General features: G+C 37.3%; 1 long non-coding RNA gene across 1 annotated transcript in view; it reads left to right on the forward strand.

Moving 5' to 3' along the window:
• The first annotated feature begins 1,940 nt into the window (after positions 1-1,940).
• LOC124901968 (uncharacterized) overlaps positions 1,941-25,173 on the forward strand; it is a 58,399-nt gene continuing 35,166 nt past the window's right edge. The window contains exon 1 of the long non-coding RNA XR_007060983.1: positions 1,941-2,080. This is a non-coding gene — a long non-coding RNA (uncharacterized LOC124901968). The remainder of the gene's footprint in view (positions 2,081-25,173) is intronic.

The raw sequence follows: 25,173 nt of genomic DNA on the forward strand, positions 1-25,173 counted from the left end.
GTGGTAGTAAAGCAGGCACTAATTTTTTACAAGTAAATAGTCATTCTTTCTCTTACGATGCCTAACTTTGTGCTTGCTTAAAAATTTCTGGAACTTGTCTTGAGATAAAATCAAGGTTGGAAAACACTCCCTTGTAGAAAATGCTGAGCAGCTAATCTACAATACCGTTGCAGTCTAGCTGACACCAGCCAGACCACCAGATGGCCCACTCAAGATAATCATCAGAACAAGACATGCTAACCTGCACGTAGTTTCCCAAGGCCATTATCCTTTAAAATTCATTCAGCCAGCCTGTGGAACCAGAGATGGCCTTTGTAACACTAGACTACCATCTCCTCAGATTGCCAGTTCCTCAATAAACCTGCTTTTCCTTCCACCAACTCTTGTCTCTTGAGTTTGGCTTTCAAATGGCAAACAGTGGAACCTAGATTCTCAGTTAAAATTCCTGGCATCCAATGTGGGAGGTGTGTCTTGGGTGGTCCTGTCTGCCTGGTTTCCAATGGATGGAGCAATAGGCCATGGAAGTGTGCCAGAACTTATCTGTTCACACTACCAGACAGGATGACAACTACTCATGAGTACCAATTGCTCATGGCTAGCTAACCCCCTAGCTGGGATTTTAGGAACACCTTAGCAACTAACAAAACTTTTCTTGAGTATTTTGCTTCTCTGCATGGCCTCTGCTGCTTGTAGTGCTCAGCTGGTGCAAGGGAAAGCAGCATCTGAGGAGCTGACGGCCTCCAAGACTGGGTAAGTCAAACTAGTGTGCACACCAGGATTCCTCTGTTTCTGCTGTTTGGGCTTCTGTGCCATTTGGACCAGGCACAGGTTGTTTGTGGTACAATCTGTTGTGATATAAGATTCTAAAAGACACATCTCTGGTGTCCTTTTTCAGAAATTAGTTTGGGAGTGCTACATTTGTTTTGTTTTCTGTGTGTTTGTAGGTTTTTAATTGTTTAAAAACATGAAAAAGTTCAAAGGCATGCCAGATTTTCTGGGACTCCAGCTGGTTACATATTATGGCTCATTTTTGTGTGCATTTTTAAACTAGAGGGCACATTACAGTAGGAAAAATTTAGAGCTCAAATGGTTAACCTGCAGCTATAGAGTTAAGTAGGGTCTTCCAGAACTCTCTATTTTCCTATTTTCCTTCCTGCCTGCTTTGAATCTGCTGTTATTAACTTATTGGTGCTGAGATAAAACTCACTGTTTATGGTAACACTGATTCAAGGACACTTGGAGATTTTGTTTGCCTTACATAGCCCAGCCTATTTGAGCTAAAATATAGACAATGAAAATTAATTTAAAACTGAAGAAAAAAAGAAGGTAAAAGAGATTTAAAAAAAAAAAAACTGCCATGAAAACTGCTTTGCCAAAAAATTTGGTCTACACCCTGTGTTAGGTTACCTATAAGAGAAAACAAGGTTAGACATGTGGACAGGTCTCAATTTTGTCAAAAATAATTTGGATCCAGCTACTTTTAGTAGGCTAGTGAATTTTCAATGCTGTCTCATGACTAGTTCTGAGGTAAAAGCTATTTGATCTTCACTTACATTTATGTATATACGTTTAGATGTGTTTATGTATATATACATGTATTATATTGTATGTTGTGTCTACAATGCTACCAAATTGGGTTACAAATAAATGAATACTCATAAATTAAGTGTTGGAAAAAAAGCTGAGGGTTGGGAAGAAAGCTGAGGCAGGACATGCATGACTGACATAATGTCCTCTGGAATGTGTCTAGACTTGCTGGCTCCTTGCTTCTAGCCCTCCTAGGCTCCTATTCCCATTATCTCAAGTAGCAGAACATGTTTCTTATAAATGCTAAACCATCACAGCTGTAGATCATGTGCCTGCCCTTTTGACCTCCACATTTTCACCACCTGTTTCCCTGTTGGATTACCAATAAATAGCGTGGGCTCCCAGCGCTCAGGGCCTTCGCAGTCTCCACGATCACGATGGTCCTCTGGTGTCCCATCTTTCTCTCTCAAACTGTCCTTTCCTCAATCCTTTGACTCCGCCGGACTTTGTCACCCCCACAACCTGGTTTTGGGTCTGGCCACCCCAACATTAAGTAAGTGCAAATGCTTTTCAAGTTCATATGAAATGAGTAATCTTTAGTAAATAAAAATGGTTTTAAAATTACTAGCAAAATAAAAATGTCTTCAGAATTGTCAACATAGATTTTTGTATGGGTTTACTGGTTATTTTATATTTGCCTCTGGTAGAGATTTTAAGGTGCTAGAGTATGGCATAAAGATTATAATACTATGAACTCAACCAAAAAACAGAATAACCTTTGTTTGGGTGGGGTTTTTTTGGCAAATAAAACTAATTTAAGATTGTTGGTTCAATGAAATAAGAAGAATTTTCGAAGTTATTGGCAAAATACCCATGAGTTTAAGGTTCTTACTTAGGTGAACGCCTGATGTTCACAGGCTTTAAAAATGGTTAACAGGGAAATAAACTTAAATGATGATGAACTGTGTCTAATTGCAGTATCTCAGTTTTCAGAAGTCACCTAGATAAACTGTTAAAAATGAAAGAATTGAGTACATGTAAATGGGAGGAATGGTTGTAGGTGAAGTTTTTGCGTAATTTATTTTAAAATTATTCTGAATTTCATTATGGATGCTCATTGGATGTCTGGTCATTTCCAGTGAAGAAAGTTTTATGATATGGGGAAATATGCTTCTAAAAATTGTGCAGTAGTTTTATCTATAAAATGCTAACATCCAAGATAGTTCAACATTTCTTTCTTCCTAGGATTTCACTAAAATTTCAGGTCATTAAGAGTAAGAATTCTAGTTAACATATAATTCTATCAGTTGTGTTCTTATTGAGAAAATCAATAATGTTACATAATTTAGAGGTTATTTAAAAGTTATGTATGAAAGAAGTTAGAAATGGACCATTAAGTAGAAGACAGAGGTGTCAAGAAAGTTATGAATATGAAGGTGAATTTTTGGTAAGAAAGATTATTAGAATAAATTTTTTATGAGAAAAGATCTTATATGATAAATTTTTGTCCTAAAGTAAAATGACTGGTTATTTAGGAAAGAAGTAGTATAGGATAACTCAGAAATTTCAAGCATGTTGTAAGTAGTCTGTGTACATTGTTATAAGGTTTGTGAAAGAGCATTTATAAAAAGCATTTTGTGTCATTAAATTGGCTATAATTAAAAGAGAAACATTTATAGCGTTCTCTCTAAGATTGATTCCCTATGTTAAAACAAGATTTTCTTAAGGTATTGATTAATGAATATTCTTAATGAAACTTCAAAAAGGTTTTATTTTTAATTATATTACCTGTTTCTTTTTGAACACTTTCAGATTTATATCTAAAAAGTTCAACTTTTACTCTGTCTTCCTTCTTTCAGTTTTTTCTTTCCTTGATAATTCTCTCCAACTTTTTGTAAGCTTCCTCTGGATCTAACTATTGTTGTGGCCTGATGATGAAAAGTTTTACCTTGAAGATCTAGAAAAACAATGTTTTTTCCCCCTGAATAACTTGATTCTATACTTTTGGCTTTTCTTTACATGACTAATTTTTTCAATTTATTTAGGACAATTCTCATACAGTTACTAAGAATTATATATTCCCCTGCTATACTCATAACCTTGAACACAGTCTTCCTAGGTTTGATGAAACACAAGTACTTTTTTTCATCAGCTTTGGTTTCCAAGTTATCTAAATGAGCTTTCCATAGGAGAAGCAATCACACTGCAAGTGTTTTTTTTTTTTTTCTTTTTTTTTAATAACTGGCCTAAGAAACAAAGATTTTACATTTTATCAAGATAATTCCTGTGTTGTCTTCTCAGGTTTTTGATTTCTTAGGAAAACTGAACTTTAAAAGAGTTAAGGTTTTATATTCGTGTAACTTTCTGTATTGATTTTTAAAAGTTTTTTATTACTATTGGTTACATGAATAACTATATTTCATTGGCCTCTGATTCCATTTTGATCACTTATTTTGGAGCTTTTAACATCTTTGACAAACCTCCTCAAAATAAAATAAATATTGCTCATTCTTTATATTTTTTCCAGAGACAGGAAAATCTTTTTTCTTTTAACTATTTATAGCTTACAAAAATTGAACATAACAACAAAGATTACCTTTCTCTCTCTACCTAATAAGTTCAGAATTTCAAAACTGTTCAATCCTAGTGGGCCAGTCTGTTTTGCATTGCCAATGCACTGCTGCTAAAGCTAAACAAGATTAAGCACCCTTTGTTTAAGCTCAGGGACTATCATGGAAGGGGTTGGCGTGTGATATTGTAAGGATCGGTTCTGAGGGATAAAATTACTTTAGACCCTTCAAATCAAAGACAGATACACAGGTGCCTAAACAGCTAATGGCTCAATACATAAGACTTATAGACAAGTCAACTTTGTAATCCTGCTTTTTGGCTTTTGTTTTCTGGCTCTTGTGTTACTTAAAAGGGGTCAAAGTGTTAATTAATGCCTGCCCACTTCTATTCCTATCTGGCTCAGAATGGTTACTTGGTCTAAGTCTTTTGACTCTAAGTCCCTTGGCCATAGGGGTCCTACAAAACAACATGATGAACTCAGGGCAGGTAGCCACACCACCCCAGCATCCATTTGGAATAAAATAAAACTTGACCACCAATACTGCCTCTGGCATATCTTTACCAAAAAAGAGGGAATATAAAATAAAGAATAAAATTATAAGACCATCACCAACTGAATGGAAACTTCCTTGGTCAAAGAAACCCCAGGAAAGGAAACCTTAAAAACGGTTTCCAACATGAAATGGGAGAATCAGACACTCCTCATTAAACTCCTTCCCTTTTATGGTTTAGACACAAGTGACCAGCACTAATGTTTACATAGAAATCATGAACTGATAGCAGACTCTCTGTGACAATAAGATACTGAATTAAAAACAGAACCTAAGGCTATACCAGGCAAGGGTCTCACGGCACACACCCCTACACTTAAAGAATATGCTATGTTCTAACTGTCACAAGGTTTTTATTTTTCTCTAGCAGCTAAACAAGCACTGGCCTTGCGATAAGCAGTATTAAAATAATTTGAAGTTCCCCCAGATGTTGACTGAACCCCAGCTCCTGTGTCACCAGCCATAACTACAACTTTGATTGAACAAGAGACTGGTTCCAGTAACTTTTTCCTGATACCACTGACCATGGATTAGTTCTGGCCAGTTTACAGAAATTATGTACTTGTGTGCTTTTGTGTCCTGAAAAGAACCTTTAACATATAGGGCCTAATTGTAATACAATTAAATGTTAAGTCTCTACCCCAAGGTGAACATGAGTGGTGTGTTACATGCATATTTGTCTAATATACGTGTGTCAGGACCACCTTAATAAATATTCATAGCTCTTCCTATAACCTGTTAAATACGTATGTTTAATCAACATATCATTATATTCTCACAGGAGACCCAAGTATAACTGATAGTGGGGAACAAACTTATTGACTTTCTTATTGACATGGAGGCCATATATTTTGTAGTTAATACCAGTCTATCCCAATTTTAAAAAGACGATGGTAGTTGCAGTAATGTCAGGAAAAGCTGTAACTCACCCCTTCCTGCAAACTTTAAATTGTATTTTGGAGACCATAATGGTGGAAAAAGCTAAAACGATAAACTGTACTCTTAAAAAAAATCCCTATATATGTCAAAAAAACTAATTTGACTCAACACAAGGTACTGACAGTTGCCCTGTTGTAAATCAAAATGGCTCCCCAAAATAGGCACAAATTGACTCTCTTTAAAGTTATATGGCTGGTTATTCCAAGTTTCCACACTGGGAGGAGAATCTACTAATACTTTAAGAAATCTAGCAATAGTAAAATATATTAAGGCTCTAAGGACTAAATTAATTTCTCTTCGTAAGTTGCTTCTAGCAGGACCACTCAACCCACAGATGTGGCCCAACATCTTTTTCAACTGGGAGATCAATTCCTAAAAACCTGAAAACAAACAAGATCCTGAACATCAACTCACTGCCTGGCCAAATGTTTTCATATCTATGTCCCCAGTGGAGCCCCCATTCAGCAGGAAGTAGCCAGAATAGACTTGCTCCATTTCCATAGAAATGGATTTAAAAATTGGCAGTGAGGAATTTGTAACCGAAGCAGTCACTCCATTTTAGAATAACCATTCTTTCTCTTCCAATGCCTAATCTTTGTGCTTGCTTAAAAACTTCAGGAAGGAGCCCTGAGATAAAACCAAAATTTCAAAATGCCTTCTCAAAATACAAAGTTGAGCATTAATCTACAATCCTCTTATAGTCTAGCTGAGACCAACCAGACCACCAGATGGCCCACTACTCAAGATAATCATCAGAACAAGACATGTTGACCTGCACATAGTTTCCCAAGGTGCTTCCTTTTTAAAATCCCTTCAGCCAACCCGAGGAACCAAGATAGCTTTCGTCACACTAGTCGGACAACTTCTCGGGTTGCCAGCTTCTTGAATAAACCTGCTTTTCCGCCCACCAACTTTTGTTTCTTGAGTTCACTTTTGAACAACAAGCAGCTAAATCTGGGTTCTGTTACAATACTTTGGCCAAAACATACGACTCAGCCATATAGACCAAAATTAATTGAGAGGAAGTATCTGGAACATTACATGCCCTCAATAAATGGGTTCTATTTGCTAGGAGAGTTAACACTTTTTTAGTCTTCTGGAATAAGACAATCAAATTAGCAAGGAAGATGTTTGTTTTTATTTGTACATATCTTGGGTAGTCCAAAAGCTATATTTCCATATGTAACATTAATCAAGACATAGCACATTTTATTTCCTTGGTGACCACTACCAGGATAGCTTAAGATTATGTAACTGATCTCTATATCCAATTTTCAAAAGTGAGTGGCTTTCAGACTTAATTATTTTATCCTACTTCTCTCCTTGTCAATGTGAATTTGAATATGCATTTAAAGTATTATACATCTTAAGGACTCTCCATTATCTCCCTCACTCCAGTCCCAAGTTGATCACACCCAAATGTACATCTGAGAATTCTAAAGCACTAAACCACACGTAGTTTTTTCACAGCAGGTTGCTATATGACTCCTTTTGTTTGTAGTTTCCTCTATCTGAATTTTATTCCTCTGTGCTCCACATTTCTATCCACTTTTTCTCCACTACTTGAAAATCTTTTCTTTCAAAACTCAAGAATCATGTTACCACTTGTCCCACCCCAATCTCACAAAAAAAAACTCCTGTGGCTTTCACTGACCCTCCACCATCTCTGCAATCCCTGTGTAATTCTATCTAAGGTTCCTACCAAATAAGTTAAATGTCTGCCCATGTGTAGTTTAGCCTCCTCTTATGTGCTATAAGATCATGAGTCTTAATGAATGCACTTCAAAATTAATTGGAGAAGTTTTAAAATTAAGCTAGTCACTATCTTCTGTGGTAGAGCTCAAAGTAGTTTCCAAGCTCCCCGGCTGATTCTAATGTACAGACAGGGTGGAGAACCACTGCTATTAGGACCTCTGGTGTGGAAACATGTTTTATTTGTCTTTGAAATTTTAGTTCCTGATAAAGTGCCCAACACAGAGTAAGATATGAAAAGGATACAATATTAGCCCATCACATTTTATTAATCAAAGTGAAATGACTTCAAAAGTGTATTTTAAACTTCTAACGCTTCAAAACACTGAAAATTAATCAGCTATGTTTCATCAAATAATTCAGTTGCTTAGTTGAAAAAATCTTTCCAAGGGTTATTAAATAACGATCCATACAAGCCAATCTATGCATAAAACATTGTATGAAAATATGAATATTTATCCTTGTATGTGTATATTGCTCTATGGATAACCAGTTACACATAAAACTAGCCATGCACACACATAGACACACACACTGGAAAATCTAGATTGTGTACAACATTCTGATCTTTAGGTTTTCAATAAGCGGGGCTGGGGGGGCTAGGGGGAGCTATAATAGTTTCCAGAAATTAAATAAGACTGCTGTGAAACATAATTTAAAAGAGTCTGATAGAAACTAAGTAGATATTAAAGCATGCCGTCATAACGGGATTAGTTACATTTTTCCATCACATTGTTAAAATAAAAATAGGAGAGAAGAGGGATGGTAGGAAACAAATACAAAATAAAGTAAATCTTATCTTGAATTTAAAGCTAAAGATTAGCACTGCAGGTAGACAAAGATTTTACTAAAGAAAACATTAACAGAAAGCTTGGATTTCTATTGCCTGACACTGGTGCTGAAAAGAAAAATACATATGGATAGACTGATGGATTGATAGCTTTATTTCACACAGAAAACAGGACTCCAGAAATAGTTTCTAATTCAAAAGAATAGGAAAGTATTTCGTTTTGTTTCTGTTATTGCTGTCAGCACCCATCTCAAAACTGTCTGAATAATAGAGATTGTTTTAAAATGCCTTGTGTTATAAAGAAAGCATTCAGCAACCTTATCTGAAATAATTCGAAATGTAGAACCATTCATTGCCCTTATCTAAAAGAATCTAAAGTATAGAATACCTTATAAAAGTTAATTTATCACATTAGATAAAATACTTCATTTTAGGAAAAAAAGTCTAAATATTATTGAGAACTCAATAAAAATAATGTGGTAACTGTGTCAGCAGTTTGTGAAATAATCTAAGAATCATGTATCTGAATCCTCCTTTTAAAAAGGCAGGACTGTTTGTCCTCACCCATGTCTTACTAATGACATCTTGTGATGTGTTAGAAAGACACATTCTGCCATTTTTAAAAAGTTCTCACAATGCAGCCTTTCAACATTAAGAATGGGAGAACAGCTTTGACTCGTTAATGGCTAGGACATTTTTACAACTGCAGTACAATTTTCTAGGAACAGAGCATTTGAAAGCGTTTTTAATACCAGATATGCACCTCCCATTTTTCAGTAGTGTGGGGATATTTGAGCGTGAGACATCAAAAATAAAAAATGCTCCAGAGTTCAGTAGGGAAGGAAGACTACATTGAAGACTGTTGCAGGAGGGGAAAGAGATTGAACTCAACTCCACAGAAACAATTAGAGGATTTTTAAGCATTAGGGTGAGCAAGTGGAAAATTACTGGAGGATGTGATGGGGGCGATTGGCCAAGGTGACTAGGCTATCTATGTTTGCTAATTGTTACTTATCTATTTTAGGGTTCTATGCTGCCACAGAAACTGGGAGATAGAGGCTCTTTCTTTTTGGTGATTACATTTTAAAGTGGCAACTCCCACTTCCTTGAGAAAGAAGATCTTGGGTCATGAAATTGGCAGGGGGCTTAAATAAGAGTCACATGTCAAAGAGACAGAAAAATATATATATACAATGGAAAGTTCTGTAATGTAAATATTCTTTAAAAAGGGAGGTCAGGAGCCTAGAGTCATGAAGAAATCTGTCTGAAGTTTGATCAAGCTGAGGGAAACATTTAGACAGATTTTGTATGACATAAAGCAACAAGATTAGCTCTCAGGATATCAAAAGGCTCACAAGGATGAGGACCAAAAATAGTATTTCTATAGTGCAGCCACTAAGTGTGGGAAAGTGCCTGGATTCAAATCTAAGCTTTGCCATTAACTGGCTATGTAATTTTATCATTCTAAAACGTAAGCAAAAACAAAATAATTACAGGCAGATGTCAGCATTTCTGAGTAAGAAATTTGTTATATTGTATAAATTGTCTTAATACATCATCCAGACGCTGGATAATTAAACTTCAGGCCCTAATGTGGGAAGACTTTGAAAAGAGTCATTAAAAGGAAAAATGTTTTCCATAGCGAAATAAGTATTTGATGCATTTGGCAGAGGATAGCCAGTGGAAAGAAAGAAGAAAAGAAGTAAACTTAGAGAAATATTGTGAGAAGGACCAGATCCCTGATAGGAGCATGGAATCTAAAAAGAACAGTAGTCTGTGAAAAATTGGTGGTGGCATGGAGGGAAAAAAGACTTTGAGAACAAGTATGTCTATCACTCAGTTTTAAATTGTTTGCAATTTTTTTTTTAATTATTAAATTTTGGGGTTTTGTTGGTACGTAGTCTATATATTTATGGGGTACATAGGATATTTTGATAGAGGTATGCAATGCATTATAATCACTTAATGGAAAATTGGGTATTCATCCCCTCAAGCATTTATTCTTTGTGTTTCAAACAATCCAATTGTATTAGTTCATTCTCACGGTGCTGATCAAACCATAACTGAGATTGGGTAATTTATAAAGACAAGGAGGTTTAATGGACTCACAGTTCCACGTGCTGGGGAGGCCCCACAATCATGGCAGAAGAAAAAAGTCATGTCTTACATGGAGGCAGGGAAGAGATAATGAGAGCCAAATGAAAAGGGAAGCCCCTTATAAAACCATCAGATCTTATGAAACTTATTCACTACCATGAGAACAGTATGGAGAAAACCACCCTATGATTCAATTATATTCCACCAGGTCCCTCCCACAATATGAGGGAATTGTGGGAGGCTACAATTCAAGATGAGATTTGGGTGGAAACACAGCCAAACCATATCATTCCTCCCCTTGCACCTCCCAAATCTCATGTCCTCACATTTTAAAACCAATCATGCCTTCCCAACAGTCCCCCAAAGTCTTAACTCATTTCAGCATTAACTTGTAAGTCCACAGTCCAATGTCTCATTTTGTCTATGAGTCTGTAAAATCAAAAGCAAGTTAGTTACTTCCTAGATACAATGGGGGTATAGCAATTGGGTAAATACAGCCATTCCAAATGGATGCAATTAGCCAAAATGCAGGGGGCTACAAGCACCACGCAAGTCTGAAATCCAGTGGGACAGTCAAATCTTAAAGCTCCAAAATTTTCTCCTTTGACTCCTGTCTCACATCCAAGTCACACTGATGCATGAGGTGGGTTCCCGTGGTCTTGAAGAGCTCTATCCCTATGGCTTTGCAGGATATAGCCTCCCTCCCAGCTGCTTTCACAGACTGGCATTGAGTGTCTGCAGCTTTTCCAGGTGCACAAAGCAAGCTGTCAATGCATCTACAATTCTGGGGTCTGGAGGATGGTGGCCCTCTTCTAACAGCTACACAAGGCAGTGCCCCAGTAAGGACTCTGTGTGTGGGCTCCGACTCCACATTTCCCTTCTGAATTGCCCTAGCAGCGGTTTGCCATGAGAGCCCCACTCCTGCAGCAAAATTCTGCCTGGACATTCTCTGAAATCTAGGTGGAGGTTCCCAAACCTCAATTCTTGACTTCTGTGCACCCACAGGCTCAACACCATGTGAAAGCTGCCAAGGAGGGTTTGTACCCTCAGAAGCCATGGCTTGGGCTGTATCTTGGCCCCTTTTAGCCACAGATGAGACATGGGACACCAAGACCAGAGACTGCACAAAGCAGGGGTCCCTGGGCCCAGTCCATGAATCCAATTTTCCCTTTTAGGCATCCAGGAGTGTGATGGGAGGGGCTACCACAAAAGTTTCAGACATGTCCTGGAGAGATTTTCCCCATTGTCTTGGTAACTAACAGTTGTCTTCTCATTACCTATGCAAATTTCTGCAGCTAGCTTGAGTTTCTCCTCAGAAAATGGGTTTTTCTTTTCTATCACTTTATCAGGTTGAAATTTTCTGAACTTTTATGTCCTGTTTATTTTTCAGAACTGAATGCTTTTAACAGCATCCAAATCACCTCTTGAATGCTTTGCTACTTAGAAATTTCTTCCACCAGATACCCTAAATTATCTCCCTCAAGTTTACAGTTTCACAAATCTCTAGGGCAGGGGCAAAATGCCACCAGTCTCTTTGCTAAAACAAAGCAAGAGTTGCCCTTACTCCAGTTCCCAGCAAGTTCCTCATCTCCATCTGAGACCACCTCAACCCAAACTTAATTGTCCATATCCCTATCAGCATTTTGATCAAAACCATTCAAGAAGTCTCCGGGAAATTCCAAATCTTCCCACAACTTCCTGTCTTTTTCTGAGACCTTCAAACTGTTACCTCTGCCTGTTACCCAGTTCCAAAGTTGCTTCCATATTTTCAGGTATCTTTACAGGAGTGCCCTACTCCTGGTACCAATTTACGGTATTAGTCCATTTTCACCCTACTGATAAAGACATATCCAAGACTTTATAATTTATAAAGACAAGGAGATTTAATTGCCTTACAGTTCCATGTGGCTACAGAGGCCTCACAATCATGGCAGAAGGCAAAAGGCACATCTTACTTACATGGCAGCAGGCAAGAGAGAATGAGAGCCAAGTGAAAGGGGAAACCTCTTAATAAACCATCATATCACATGAGACTTATTCATTACCATGATAACAGTATGGGGGAACCACCCCCATCATTCAGTTATCTTGCACCAGGTCCCTCCCATGACATTTGGGAATTATGAGAGGTTCAATTCAAGATGAGATTTGGGTGGGGACACAGCCAAACCATATCACCAATCATTCTGTTCTAGCTATTTTTAAATGTACAACTAAATTATTATTGATAATATTCACTCTGTTGTGCTATCAAATAGTAGGTGTTATTTATTCATTGTAACCACTTTTTTTGTACCCATTAACCATTCCCAATTTCTGGGTAGTATGGACATTTTAACAATATTGATTTTTCTTTTTTTTTTTTTTATGGACTATGATAACAATTTTATTGTGAACATTTCTTTTTTTTATTTTTTTTATTTTTTTTTAATTTTTTTAATTTTTTTTTTTTTTATTGATCATTCTTGGGTGTTTCTCGCAGAGGGGGATTTGGCAGGGTCATAGGACAATAGTGGAGGGAAGGTCAGCAGATAAACAAGTGAACAAAGGTCTCTGGTTTTCCTAGGCAGAGGACCCTGCGGCCTTCCGCAGTGTTTGTGTCCCTGGGTACTTAAGATTAGGGAGTGCATGTTGATTTTGTATTCTGCAACTTTACTGAATTTGTGTATCAGTTCTAATAGTTTTTGGTGAAGTCTTTATGTTACTCCAAATGTAAGATTATATAATCTGCAAACAAGCATAATTTGACTTATTCCTTTCCAAGATGGATGCCCTTTATATCTTTCTTTTGTCTGATCACTCTAGTTAGGACTTCCAGTACTATGTTGAATAACAGTTGTGAAAATAGGCATCCTTGTCGTGTTCCAGATGTAAGTGGAAGGGCTTTCATTTTTTCCCCATTCAGTATGATACTAGTTGTTTGTCTGTCATATGTGGCTTTTATTATGTTTAGGTATGTTCCTTCTATAACCAGTTTTTTGAAAGTTTTATGAAGAGGTATTGAACTACAAAAGATTTTTTTAGCATCAGTTGAAATGATAATATGGTTTTTAATGTTCCTTTTGTTGATATGATGCATTGCATTGATTGATTTTTGTATGTTCAACCATCCTTGCATCCCAGTGGTATCACACTTGGTCATGATGAATGGTCTTTTTACTGTATTGTTGAAATTGGTTTGATAATATTTTGTTGGGGATTTTTGCATCAATATTTATCAGAGATACTAGCCTGTAGTTTTCTTTGTTTTATATATCTGTCTGATTTTGGTATCAGGGAAATATTGGCCTCATAGAATCAGTTTGGAAGTAATCAATTTTTTTGAACCATCTGAGTACGATTAGTGTTATTTCTTCTTTAAATGTTTGGTAGATTTCAGCAGTGAAGTCATCAGGTCCTGGGCTTTTCTTTACTGGCTCATGTTTCAAATTTCTTTCTGGTTCAATCTTGGTTGGTTGTACGTGTCTAGAAATTTATTCTTTTCTTCTAAATTTTCTTATTTATTGACATATACTTGTTCATAGTAGCCATAAATGTACTTTGATTTTCTGTGATCTCAGTTGTAATGTCTCCTTTCTCTTTCTCAATTTTATTCATTTGGGTGTTCTCTCTTTTTTTTAGACTGGCTAAAGGTTGGTCAATTGTGTTTATCTTTTCAAAATAAACAACTTTTTGTTTCATTACTTGTTTTGTATTTTCTTTATTTCAAATTTACATATTTCTTCTTTGCTCATTATTATTTATTATCTTCTACTAATTTTGGGTGTGTTTTACTCTTGCTTTTGTAGTTCCTTATGTTGGATCATTAGGTTGTTTATTTGGTATTTTTCTACTTTATTTATGTAGGCACTTATAGCTATAAACTTACCTCTTAGTACTTGTTTTGCTCTATCCCATAGGAGTTGGTATGTTGTGTTTCCAATATCATTTACTACAAGAAATTTTCCTTTTTATTTCTTCATTGACCAACTGGTCATTTGCATGTTCTTTAATTACTATGTGTTTGTATAGTTTTCAAAATTTCTCTTATTAATTTCTAGGTTTTCCTGTGGTCAGAGAAGATGCTTGATACTACTTTAATTTTTTGAATGTTTTAATACTTGTTTTGTGACCTAACATATGATCTACCCTTGAGAATTATCTATATGCTGAGGAAAATAATGTGTATTACACAGCCATTGGATGAAATATTCTGTAACTATCTCTTAGGTACATTTGTTATATAATTTACTCTGAAGCTTCTTTGCTATTTTTTTTGTCTGGGAGATTTGTCCCATGCTGAAAGTGGGGGGTTGAAGTCCCCAGCTATTATTGTATTGGGATCTATCTCTCTCTTTAGGTCTAATAGTATTTACTCTATATATATATCTGGGTGCTCCGTGTTGGGTGCATATATATTCATAACTATATTATACTCTTGCTGAATTAATCCCTTTATCATTATATAATGATCTTCTTTGTCTCATAATTTTGTCTTGAAATCCATTTTGAAATAAATATAGCTACTCCTTCTCATTTTTGGTGTCCATTGGCATTATCATGGGATCCTTGGGGTGTTGCTTCACCAGCTGCCAATCTCTGTGTCCAGCCGCACCTTCTGTTTGAGTATCTCTTGTGCTTTCTTGACTCATTCTGCCACTTGGCCTGGTAGGCTGCACTTGACTTGCTCTACTGGCTTGGATGCCACACCTGCCAAGAGCATGCCAGGCAAGCAAGGGGTATGTGGGCAAGCGAGCACAGGATCTGACCACAGCACAGAGCCAGGCACTGGTGGCTATGGTGGGATGGGCAGCTCCAAGCACCAGCACAGGTTCCGGCTCTGTGTGAGGCTGTGGCTGGACCACATGTACTGCACACAGCTTGCACTGCAGGCACCTATGTCTAGACAAGGGGAACACAGTGGCACTTGGAAGCTTGGAGATGCCAGGAACTGTAGAGCCCCAAAGACGCTGTCACAGCCTGGCTCGGGCAATCTGTAGATCTGGGCTCCCTGAAAAACTGCAGCTCTTCTCTCCTTCTCATCCACAACATGGTGAGTGGGTTGGGGGAGTGTGTTTCAGCTGTGTTTGTGTTACACCTCTTTCAGTTCTGCCATTCAGTGGGTCCCAAGTTCTTGTACCACATCCAGGAAGAATTAGGTATACGAACAACTGGAGGGTGAGCAACGCAGAGAGGAGCTTCACTGAGCAACAAAATAGCTCTCAGGAGGCCCAAACCGGGTAGCTCCTTTCTATAGGTAGGTCATCCCAACAAGTTGAGGTGGCCCTGGAGTGGGTAGCTCCTCTCTGCAGCTGGTCTTCCTGACATCTTTTTCAAGTCTTGCTTAGTCTTGGATTTTTAATGGGCTCAGAAGAAAGGAAATACCTGCTGATTGGTCCATGAGCAGCCATGGATGGACCCAGAAGAAGCACCACAAGTTCTCACTGTGGGCCATGGATTTCACTTGGAACTGGTAGCCTGGCCTCCAGGCTTCAGGCTATCCCAGGCTTGAAAGTGGGGCTTCATTGGGGACCCACTCCTTTCCACTCAGGAACTTGTCTGCCTCCTCTCCTGATGCCATCAACATGCTTTCCATGGCACCCAGGCTGTTTGTCCAAAGAAATGCCAGCAGGCTGGCACCAAGACACCCTCAGCCCCCTTCAGCCTCCCTCCCATGCTCTTCAGCACCCAAATTCCAGAGGGAGTCAAGGCGGCAGGGGGCTGGTGTGTCAATGCTTCCCTAAGCATGGCACACTTGGCTGGTTTGTGACAGGGTCTGTGCTTCACCTCAACTTTGCTCCAGAATCAGAGCTGGTGCTGGGAGCAGGGAGAGGCCAGGCTGTGGAAGAAGGCACGTCTGAGCCCGTGGGGGCAGTGGAGCTTCCTGGAACTCCAAGAGCACAGAGATGCCTGAGTCCAGAGCCATGGCTGGGCAGCTGCAGCTGAGCCCATGAGTGCAGGGCTCCCACCCTGCCAATTTGGTCGGGGGCAGGGCTCCCACCTGTTCTTAGCTGCTGCCAGCTCCACAGAGGAGCCTGGCCATGCCTTCCCGACTGCAGCAGGCATCTTCACAGTGACTCCTCCAGACAGACTGCTGCTGCCATCAGCATGGAATGTCTTTTTCCATTCTTTTATTTTCAGTCTATGTGTATGTTTATAGATGGAGTGTGTGTCTCATATACAGTAGATCATTGGGTCTTGTTTTTCATCCTTCAGCCACTCCATATTGTTTCATTGGAGAATTTAGTCCATTTACCATTCAATGCTATTATTCATAAGCAGGGACTAACTCCTGCCATTTTATTATTTGTTTTCTGATTATTTTATGGTCTTCTCTTCCTTCTTTCCTTCCTTTCTGTCTTCTTTTTAGTGAAGGTGATTTTCCCTAGTAGTATGTTTTAATTTCTTACTGTTTATTTTTTGTGTATCTGTTGCATGTTTTTTGGATTTGAGGCTACCATGAGGTTTGCAAATGGAATCTTATAACCCATTATTTTAAACTGATATCACTTTAACACTGTTTGCATCAATGATCAAACACACACTCAAAGAAAACTAATAAAAAATTCTACACTTTAACTTTGTCCCCCACTGTTTAACCTTTTTGTTGCTCTTTATTTCTTATTGTACTGTCCATGTCTTAAAAAGTAGTTGTAGTTATTAGTTATTATTTGCATAGGTTCATTATTTAGTCTTTCTATTTAAGACAAAACTAGTTTACACTCCACAATTAAAGTGTTATACTAGTCTGTGTTTTTCTGTGTGCTTACTATTGCTAGTGAGTTTTATAACTTCAGATGATTTCTTCTTGCTCATTAACATCATTTTCTTTCAGATTGAAGAGCTCCCTTTAGCACTTCTTCTAGGAAAGTTCTAGTGTCAATAAAACCATCCCTCAGCTTCTATTTATCTAGGAAGGCCTTTATTTTGCTTTCATGTTTCAAGGATATTTTCACTGGATATACTATTCTAGGGTAAAATTTTGTTTCCTTCAGCACTTCAAATATGTCGTGCCACTCTCTCCTGGCCTGTAAGGTTTCCACTGAAAAAGCTTATGCCAGTCATATTGGAGCTGCATTGTATGTTATTTGTTTCTTTTCTCTTGCTGATTTTAGGATCCTTTATTTATCCTTCGTATTTGGGAATTTGAATGTCAAATGACTTGAGGTAGTATTTTTTGGGTTAAATCTGCTTAGTGTTCTATAATGTTCTTGCACTTGAATGTTGATATCATTCTCCAGGTTGGGAAGTTCTCTGATGTTTTTCTTTTGAATAAACTTTCTATCCCTGTCTCTTTCTCTACCTCGTTTTTAAGATGAATAACTCTTAGATTTGACCTTTTGATGCTGTTTTCTAGATCTTGTAAGCAGGCTTCGTTTTATAATTTTTTTCTTTTGTCTCTTCTGACTATGCATTTTCAAATAGTCCTTCTTTAATTTCACTAATTCTTTCTTCTGCTTGATCAGTTTTGCTATTAAGAGACTCTGATGCATTCTTCAGAATGTTAATTGCATTTTTCAACTCTAGAATTTCTGCCAGATTCTTTTATTTCAATCTATTTGTTAAATTTATTTGATAGGATTCTTAATTCCTTCTCTGTGTTATCTTGAATTTCTTTGAATTTCCTCTACACATCTATTTTGAATTCTCTGTCTGAAAGATCATGTATCTCTGTTTCTCCAGGATTGGTTCCTGGTGCCTTATTTAGTTCATTTGGTGAGGACATTTACTGAGTGGTGTTCATGCTTATATATTTTCATCAGTGTCTGGGCACTGAAGAGATACATATGTTTTGTAGCCTGGGCTTGTTTGGGGTTGTCTTTCTTGGGAAGGTTTTCCAAGTATTCAAAGGAACTTGGGCCCTAAGCCCAATAATGCTGTGGTTTTTGCAGACTCATAGTACTGCCTTGGTGGTTTGGGATAAGACTTGGAAGAATTCTCTGGATTACCAGGCAGAGACGCTTTTCCTTTCTCTCTCTCTCTCTCTGAGTGAGTGTGTGTGTGTGTGTGTGTGTGTGTGTGTGTGTGTATAGCCACCTGGAACTGGGCGTATAGTAATGCAAGCACCCCTGTGACCATCACCAGTGGGAATGCACTGGGTCCATACTGGGTCAGCCTTGAAGCCAGCACAGCACTGGGTCTTGCCCTGGCACTTCTGTTGAGGGCAGCGAGCTCCCATAAGCCTCAGACATGTCCAGAGATGCTATCTGGGACCTAGAGACTGGAGTCAAAAGCCTTGGCAATTTACCTGATGTTCTATTCTACTGTGGCCAAGCTGTCACTCATACCACAATACAAAGTCCTTCCTGCTCTTCCTTTCCCTTTCCGCAGGCAAAGGATCCTCTCCTTGTGGTCACTACCACCCCTGGTCCACAGGGGGCTCTTTCAGGACACCACTGATGTTTACTTAAAGCCCAAGGGCTCTTCTGTCAGCCTGTGGTGAATGTTGCTAGGCCTGCGACTCACCCTTCAGGGCAGAGTGTTCCCCTCTGGCCCATGACAGGTCTAAAAATGCTGTGCAGGAGCCTAGGCCTGGACTTGGAAGCCCCAAGAGCTTGCTGGGTGCTCTATCCCTGTGGCTTGGTTAGTACCCGATTTTTGGGTTTTGTGCTAGTTCTTTTCTGTGTGCAGATAGTTGCTAAAATTTGGTATCCCAGAGGGGAATCAACAACGTAGACTTGTATTCTATCATCTTTCTCTGCCCACCTATTTGCGATTCTTGTAAAAAGTCTCTCTTTAGCCTCCCTCTGGCACCCTCAGAAAAACTGGCTACACACAACTGCCTTGTATGGGGGTTGCTTCAAGGAAATAAGTAAGGTGAAGGTAAAAAGCAGTCATCTTTTGTGAGAAAAAAAAGAGACAGGAAATTTAGTATAAACAGGAATTGAGAAGTACAAGAGGCCTCTCCCTGACAGCCACCCCATTCCCACCCTTTTCAGAAATACTAGAGGATAAGAAATATAAAATTTTCCCAGGCAGTAAAACTTAATATTACCTGAAAGGCAAAACTGAAAAGATACACAGGCAGTTGAAACTAGGTTATATGAATATAATAGCAGTAATCTACCAGATAGGATTAATGTAAACATTTAACAAGATTAGTGAATGTGCCTGGTTTCCGGTAATGTTAACCTATTATTGTTATTATTAGTTATTCTAAGTGTGGAATTAGGAAGAAGTACCAGGATCTATTAATGAGGTAGTTAGTAAAGATTGTAAATATAAGTCCCTCAAGTAAAATCAGAAAGGTTTTTTTGTACATTTCTATGAATAAATTGTCAGTAAGATTTGAATCCCAATAGTACACAATGACTAATATGCTAAAACTTTTGTAGATACAAATGCAGAATTCAGTGTCTACCACAGCAAGTATATGTCAAGAGTAGATTCTTTACTCCCAGTTTTTGAGCAGTTATCATAAGCATAAACATACATTGCAATCAACCTTTATAATTATTTATGTGTGTATACATACATATGTGTATATGTACACAGTAATTTCTGTATATGTATATAGAGCTCGGATTCATGTTCTAGTCCTTGCTTTTGAATATTTTAACTATATTGTTAGGAGATTTTTATCAGCCTACAAAATAAGTAGAGTTTATTGACTTCTTCATAATAGGTCTTATGGTTACATATATACACAATTTTGCATTTAATGGGCAGAAATAACACCTAATCTCAGATGTTGCAGGAAGTCAGGGACCTCAAATGGAGAGACTGGCTGGAGCCGTGGCAGAGGAACATAAATTGTGAAGATTTCATTTTGATATGGACATATATCAGTTCCCAAAATTAATACTTTTTAAATTTCTTACGCCTGTCTTTATTGCAGTCTCTGAACATAAATTGTGAAGATTTCATTTTAATATGGACATTTATCAATTCCCAAAATTAATACTTTTATGATTTCTTATGCCTGTCTTTAATCTCTTAATCCTGTTATCTTTGTAAGCTGAGAATGTATGTCACCTCAGGACCACTATTGTGTAAAAATTGATTGTAAAACATGCGTTTGAACAATATGAAATCAGTGCACCTTGAAAAAGAACAGAATAACAGCCATTTTCAGGGAACAAGGGAAGACAACCATAAGATCTGACTGTCTGCAGGGTCAGGCAGAATAGAGCCATATTTTTCTTCTTGCAGAGAGCCTATAAACAGACATGCGAGTAGGGAAGATATTGCTGAATTCTTTTCCTAGCAAGGAATATTAATAATTAAGACCCTGGGAAAGGAATGCATTCCTGGGGGGAGGTCTATAAATGACCACTCTGGGAATGTCTGTCTTATGTGGTTGAGATAAGGACTGAAATTCGCCCTGGTATCCTGCAGTACCCTCAGGCTTATTTGGGTGGGGAAGAAACCACCCTCGTAAATTTGAGGTCAGACTGGTTCTCTGCTTTTGAACCCTGTTTTCTGTTGTTTAGGATGTTTATCAAGACAATACGTGCACAGCTGAGCATATATCCTTATCAGGAGTTTTTTATTTTGCCCTTTGCCTTGCGATCTTTGCTTTGCCCTTTGCCTTGTGATCTTTATTGGCCTCAGAAGCATGTGATCTTTGTTCTCCTTTTTGTCCTTTGAAGCATGTGATCTTGTGAAATACTGCCTGTTCTTGCACCCCCTCCCCTTTTGAAATCCTCAATAAAAACCTGCTGGCTTTGCAGCTCAGGTGGGCATCACAGTTCTACCGATATGTGATGTTACCCCTGGAGGCCCAGCTGTAAAATTCCTCTCCTTGTACTCTTTCTCTTTGTTTCCCAGCCGGCCTACACTTATGGAAAATAGAAAGAACCTATGTTGAAATATTGGGGGCTTGATCCCCCGGCACTCAATTAATTTGCAATCTAGTGGCAAAGACTATCAAACAAATGAGCAAAAATAACACATGCTGTCTTTTGGAAAGTATGTATTTGTTTACCTCTAAGTTTTAGAGGTAACATAAACTACCTCCAGATTTTCTTTCAAGGAAACATAAATTCATATACAATTGCTGCTGATCCCACCTTCTTGAGAAACTCAGTTTGAGACTTCCTGGATCTTAAGAAAAACACCTCATTTAAAGACAGAATTCTGGTGAACAATTTGGACACTTTGCAGGCCATACAAATCAGTATAAAAGCCATCATTTCATCACATAAAATTTACTGTCATGATCAATCAAAAGGCAACCATCTCAGAAAAGATGAGGTGTCATTTCCATAAAGGTTTCTGTCATTCAAAAAATGAGTATGCACTTGTTGACTTTATCTGATAGATTGTTCTATAAAATTTCTACATAGATACTAGTAGGTTCTGCCTTGCCTAACTCTAGTAATTCCAATTTAAAGATATTCGTCTAACAAAATGAACACAAGAAGGTCAGTATCTAAATACAGTGTTCACTGAAGACAAGACCTATTCTTACTACAATTTGTGCTATATATTTGTACTTATCTCAAGTTTCTTTATATAGAAAGCCTTAACTATTAATTTCTGTGATAGGAAACATATACAAATGATAAGCTAGAAAGTAATTATCTTGCATATAACAACAATATAGATATTTTGTCTGTCTTATTTTATACGTATATATATTACCATGTGGTGAAAGTCTACATTTGTTCAAGATGTCATTAAAAGTTTTCCTTTCTTCATTATGTCCTCCAACTATTCATCAGCCTTTGAGGAAAGAATGTGCTTTAGGCTTAACAGCAATGGAGTTAAAAACAGAATATGCTAAAGAAAGTTAATATAGTAACACATGAAAGCCAGAAGCTCCAATAAAATAACTATCTTTTTCTGAAAAGAAAAGGGGAAAATAATTCAAGGGAAGACAAGTAGGAAAGAGGAATTGTGAGTTTAAGATTAAAAATGAAATGCATCATGCATATAAATGTTTGGATCAGAAAACAGAATGGCAAGACTCCTGAATGTTTAATCTTCAGAAGCAGCAAAAAGAAAATTAAAAGTTAAAAGGAAAAAAAAAAGACTGTTTGTTTTTGATCAAACCCTCATCTAAATAATTTGATGGATATGTTTTCCAGATTCAGGTTTTCTGGGGACACAATCTGTTAAGAGTCTTGTTAGACCTCACTCTGATGACCTCCATCTATGGCTCTGTTGCTCCTAGAATGTGAAACCATGAATGTTAGTGTCACTATTAGGCCAGAAATTGGTGACCCTTGAGTTCTTGCCCAAGGAATTCTTAAATTGCACTGCTCTTTTGACTTCACCTCTTGCATAGTTGGTGTTGGTCAAGGCCCTAATCAGAGATTCTAAACAACAAGTAGAATGCTTCATTATCTAAAGTTTTATTGAATTTTCTCTGTTGGTAGAATAATCATTCTATTTTTATTCCAAAAATAATTATTAAGCATCTCCTGTATACTAGGTTCTCTAAGGAGAAGAATACACAAATGAAAAAGATATGCAGTCTGAATGCAAGCTACATTCAGCGAGCTTATTTCTCCTTTGCTTTCTCTCTTTGGGTTTCACAATGAGTAAAATATTTGAACTGCTTCCATTTATTCAATAAATAATTATTCACCACGTACTGTTTTGTCAAGTACTATGCTAGAATCTGGAAATACAATATTAAGTAGATTAATATGAAATTTCTGGTAATATACGGAATTTAAGAACTGAGCTTTAAGGAGCTAACAAGCTAAAGATGCTACAAGAAAGCAAATAATATTTACAAGATTGTGGCACGTATTGTATTAGAGTAAGTACAGAGTGTTTTAGGAAAATTAGAGGGGAACATAATTCAGATGGAGATGAGTAAGGTGTCAGGAAATATTTCTCAAACTAGGTTCAGAAATATAAGTAAGAGGCCAGGCATGGTGGCTCACGGCCTGTAATCTCAGCACTTTGGGAGGCAGAGGCAGGCAGATCATGAGGTCAAGGAATCGAGACCATCCTGGCCAACATGGTGAAACCCCATCTCTACAAAAAATACAAAATTTAGCTGGATGTGGCGACACACACCTGTAGTCCCAGCTACTTGGGAGGCTGAGGCAGGAGAATCATTTGAACGCAGGAGGCAGAGGTTGCGGTGAGCCGAGATTGCACTCCAGCCTGGCAACAGAGCAAGACTACATCTCAAAAAAAATAAATAAATAAATAAATATATATATATATATATATATATATGTAAGAAAAGTGTCCTTAGCAGAAGGAATAGCAAATGCAAATATCTGGAGGCAAGTAAGAACATGAACAATGTGACTCAAAAAGATAAGTTTGTACTGAAGAGATGAGCAGGGACTATACCAGGCAGAACATTGCCTTATATTATAGTTTGTGTTGAGATGTGTGGACTTTATCCAAAGAACAATGGGGAAATATTTAAGCAAAGGAGTAATAAAATAATAATTATAGCTTAGAAATTACTACATTAAAAATGTATGATAGACAGCTAAATTAACTCACTCAACAAACATTTATTGAACTCCAACTGTGTGCCAGGCATTGTGACTCAAGAACTGAGATAAGAGCTATTAAAGAGCTCTTAGTCTACTAAGTCCCCTGCTATTAAAGAGCACTTAGTCTACTAAGGGAGCTGAGGGGAGGGAAAATAGTTAATTACAAGGCAGTATAAGACACAGGTTTTTCTGGGAGGTCCCTAACCTACTCTGGAATTCAGCGATGTCTTTCTAAGGAATATAGTACTTGAACAATGTGCGATATTAGTCTCAAGAAATAGGGGAGAGTGGTAGTAGAAGCAGCATTAACTAGGCCCTGAGCTAAAAGGTCATATGGTTTTAAAATAAGTTATTGCTGGAAAAATTTTAAGAAATTTTGCAGCAATGTTGGATTTGAAAAATTGAGTGTTGAGGAAAAGTATTCCAAATTAATGTAAACTTATTAACATGAAACAGAAATACAGAGGACATATTAAAAGAAGAATGAATCCACTTTGGCTTTGGCTGGAGTGTAGAATTGATAAGACAGCAAAGAGAGAAGTGAAGTTTTACAGGTGGGTTGGGCCATTTAGGAAATAATACATTTATAATAATTGCAGATTCTATGCTCAAGATTAAGGGGAGAAATCATTAGAGTCTGTTTTGTAAAGGAGAAAAAATCATATTTTCACCCGTAATATAGGTAAAAGACTCACTGAAAGCAGAAAAGCCTGTTAGCAGCTTGTTAAAAGGATACCCTAGTAGTCCAAAATATTCTCAACTCAGGCAGTGGCAGCTGGGATGAAAGGAAGAGAATGCTTCTTGGAGGTTTAAAGGCTTAATGATGTCTTTTCATAGCTTGATAGCTCGTTTCTTTTTAGTGCCGATTAACATTTCATTGTCTTGAATTTCCAACACTTTTGAGATCTTTTAGCTGAGAAAAACCTGGAGATGGTAAGATAGTTGTATCAAATTTTTAAAATTGCGTGTGTGTTTGTGTGGTGTGTCTGTGTTAAATTTTAGATTTCTTTAAGGATATTCATTTTAAAGTATTTATATTGCTTAATCTTAATATAACTTTATAAGATGGATGCTATTCTTTATGCTTTAAAAATTAGAAGTCTGAGCAAAAGAGTCCCTGAGTGAATTGGCCAAAATTAACAAGCCAGTATTTGAGGGAAAATGTCATGTGAACACATATGATCTGATTTTATAATCCACTCTCTTAGTCTAGACAGACTCAAAAGGAAAAAAAGGCAAATAGTTCCCTCTGCAATTCATTCTCCATATATGCACGTCTTTACAATGTTACTGAATATTAAGAAAAATTTTTAAGTAAAACTTTTCTCTCTTGCAAGATTTCTAACACTCTTTGCATTTCACTGCTTTATTTCATTATTTTTTCAAATGTTAAAGATTCATTATTATTTCAATAGCATTTTAATCTATGATAAAATATAATTAATATTGCAAATAATATACCAATGTACCATGCATTATTAAAATCATAAAAAAGAATATGAAAGTTTGAAATATGTATCTATAGAGTTCAAGTTCCAGAGAAATCAAAGTTAGT

The sequence above is a fragment of the Homo sapiens genome, chromosome 8, assembly GCF_000001405.40.
Source record: "Homo sapiens chromosome 8, GRCh38.p14 Primary Assembly".
Classification (NCBI taxonomy): domain Eukaryota; kingdom Metazoa; phylum Chordata; class Mammalia; order Primates; family Hominidae; genus Homo; species Homo sapiens.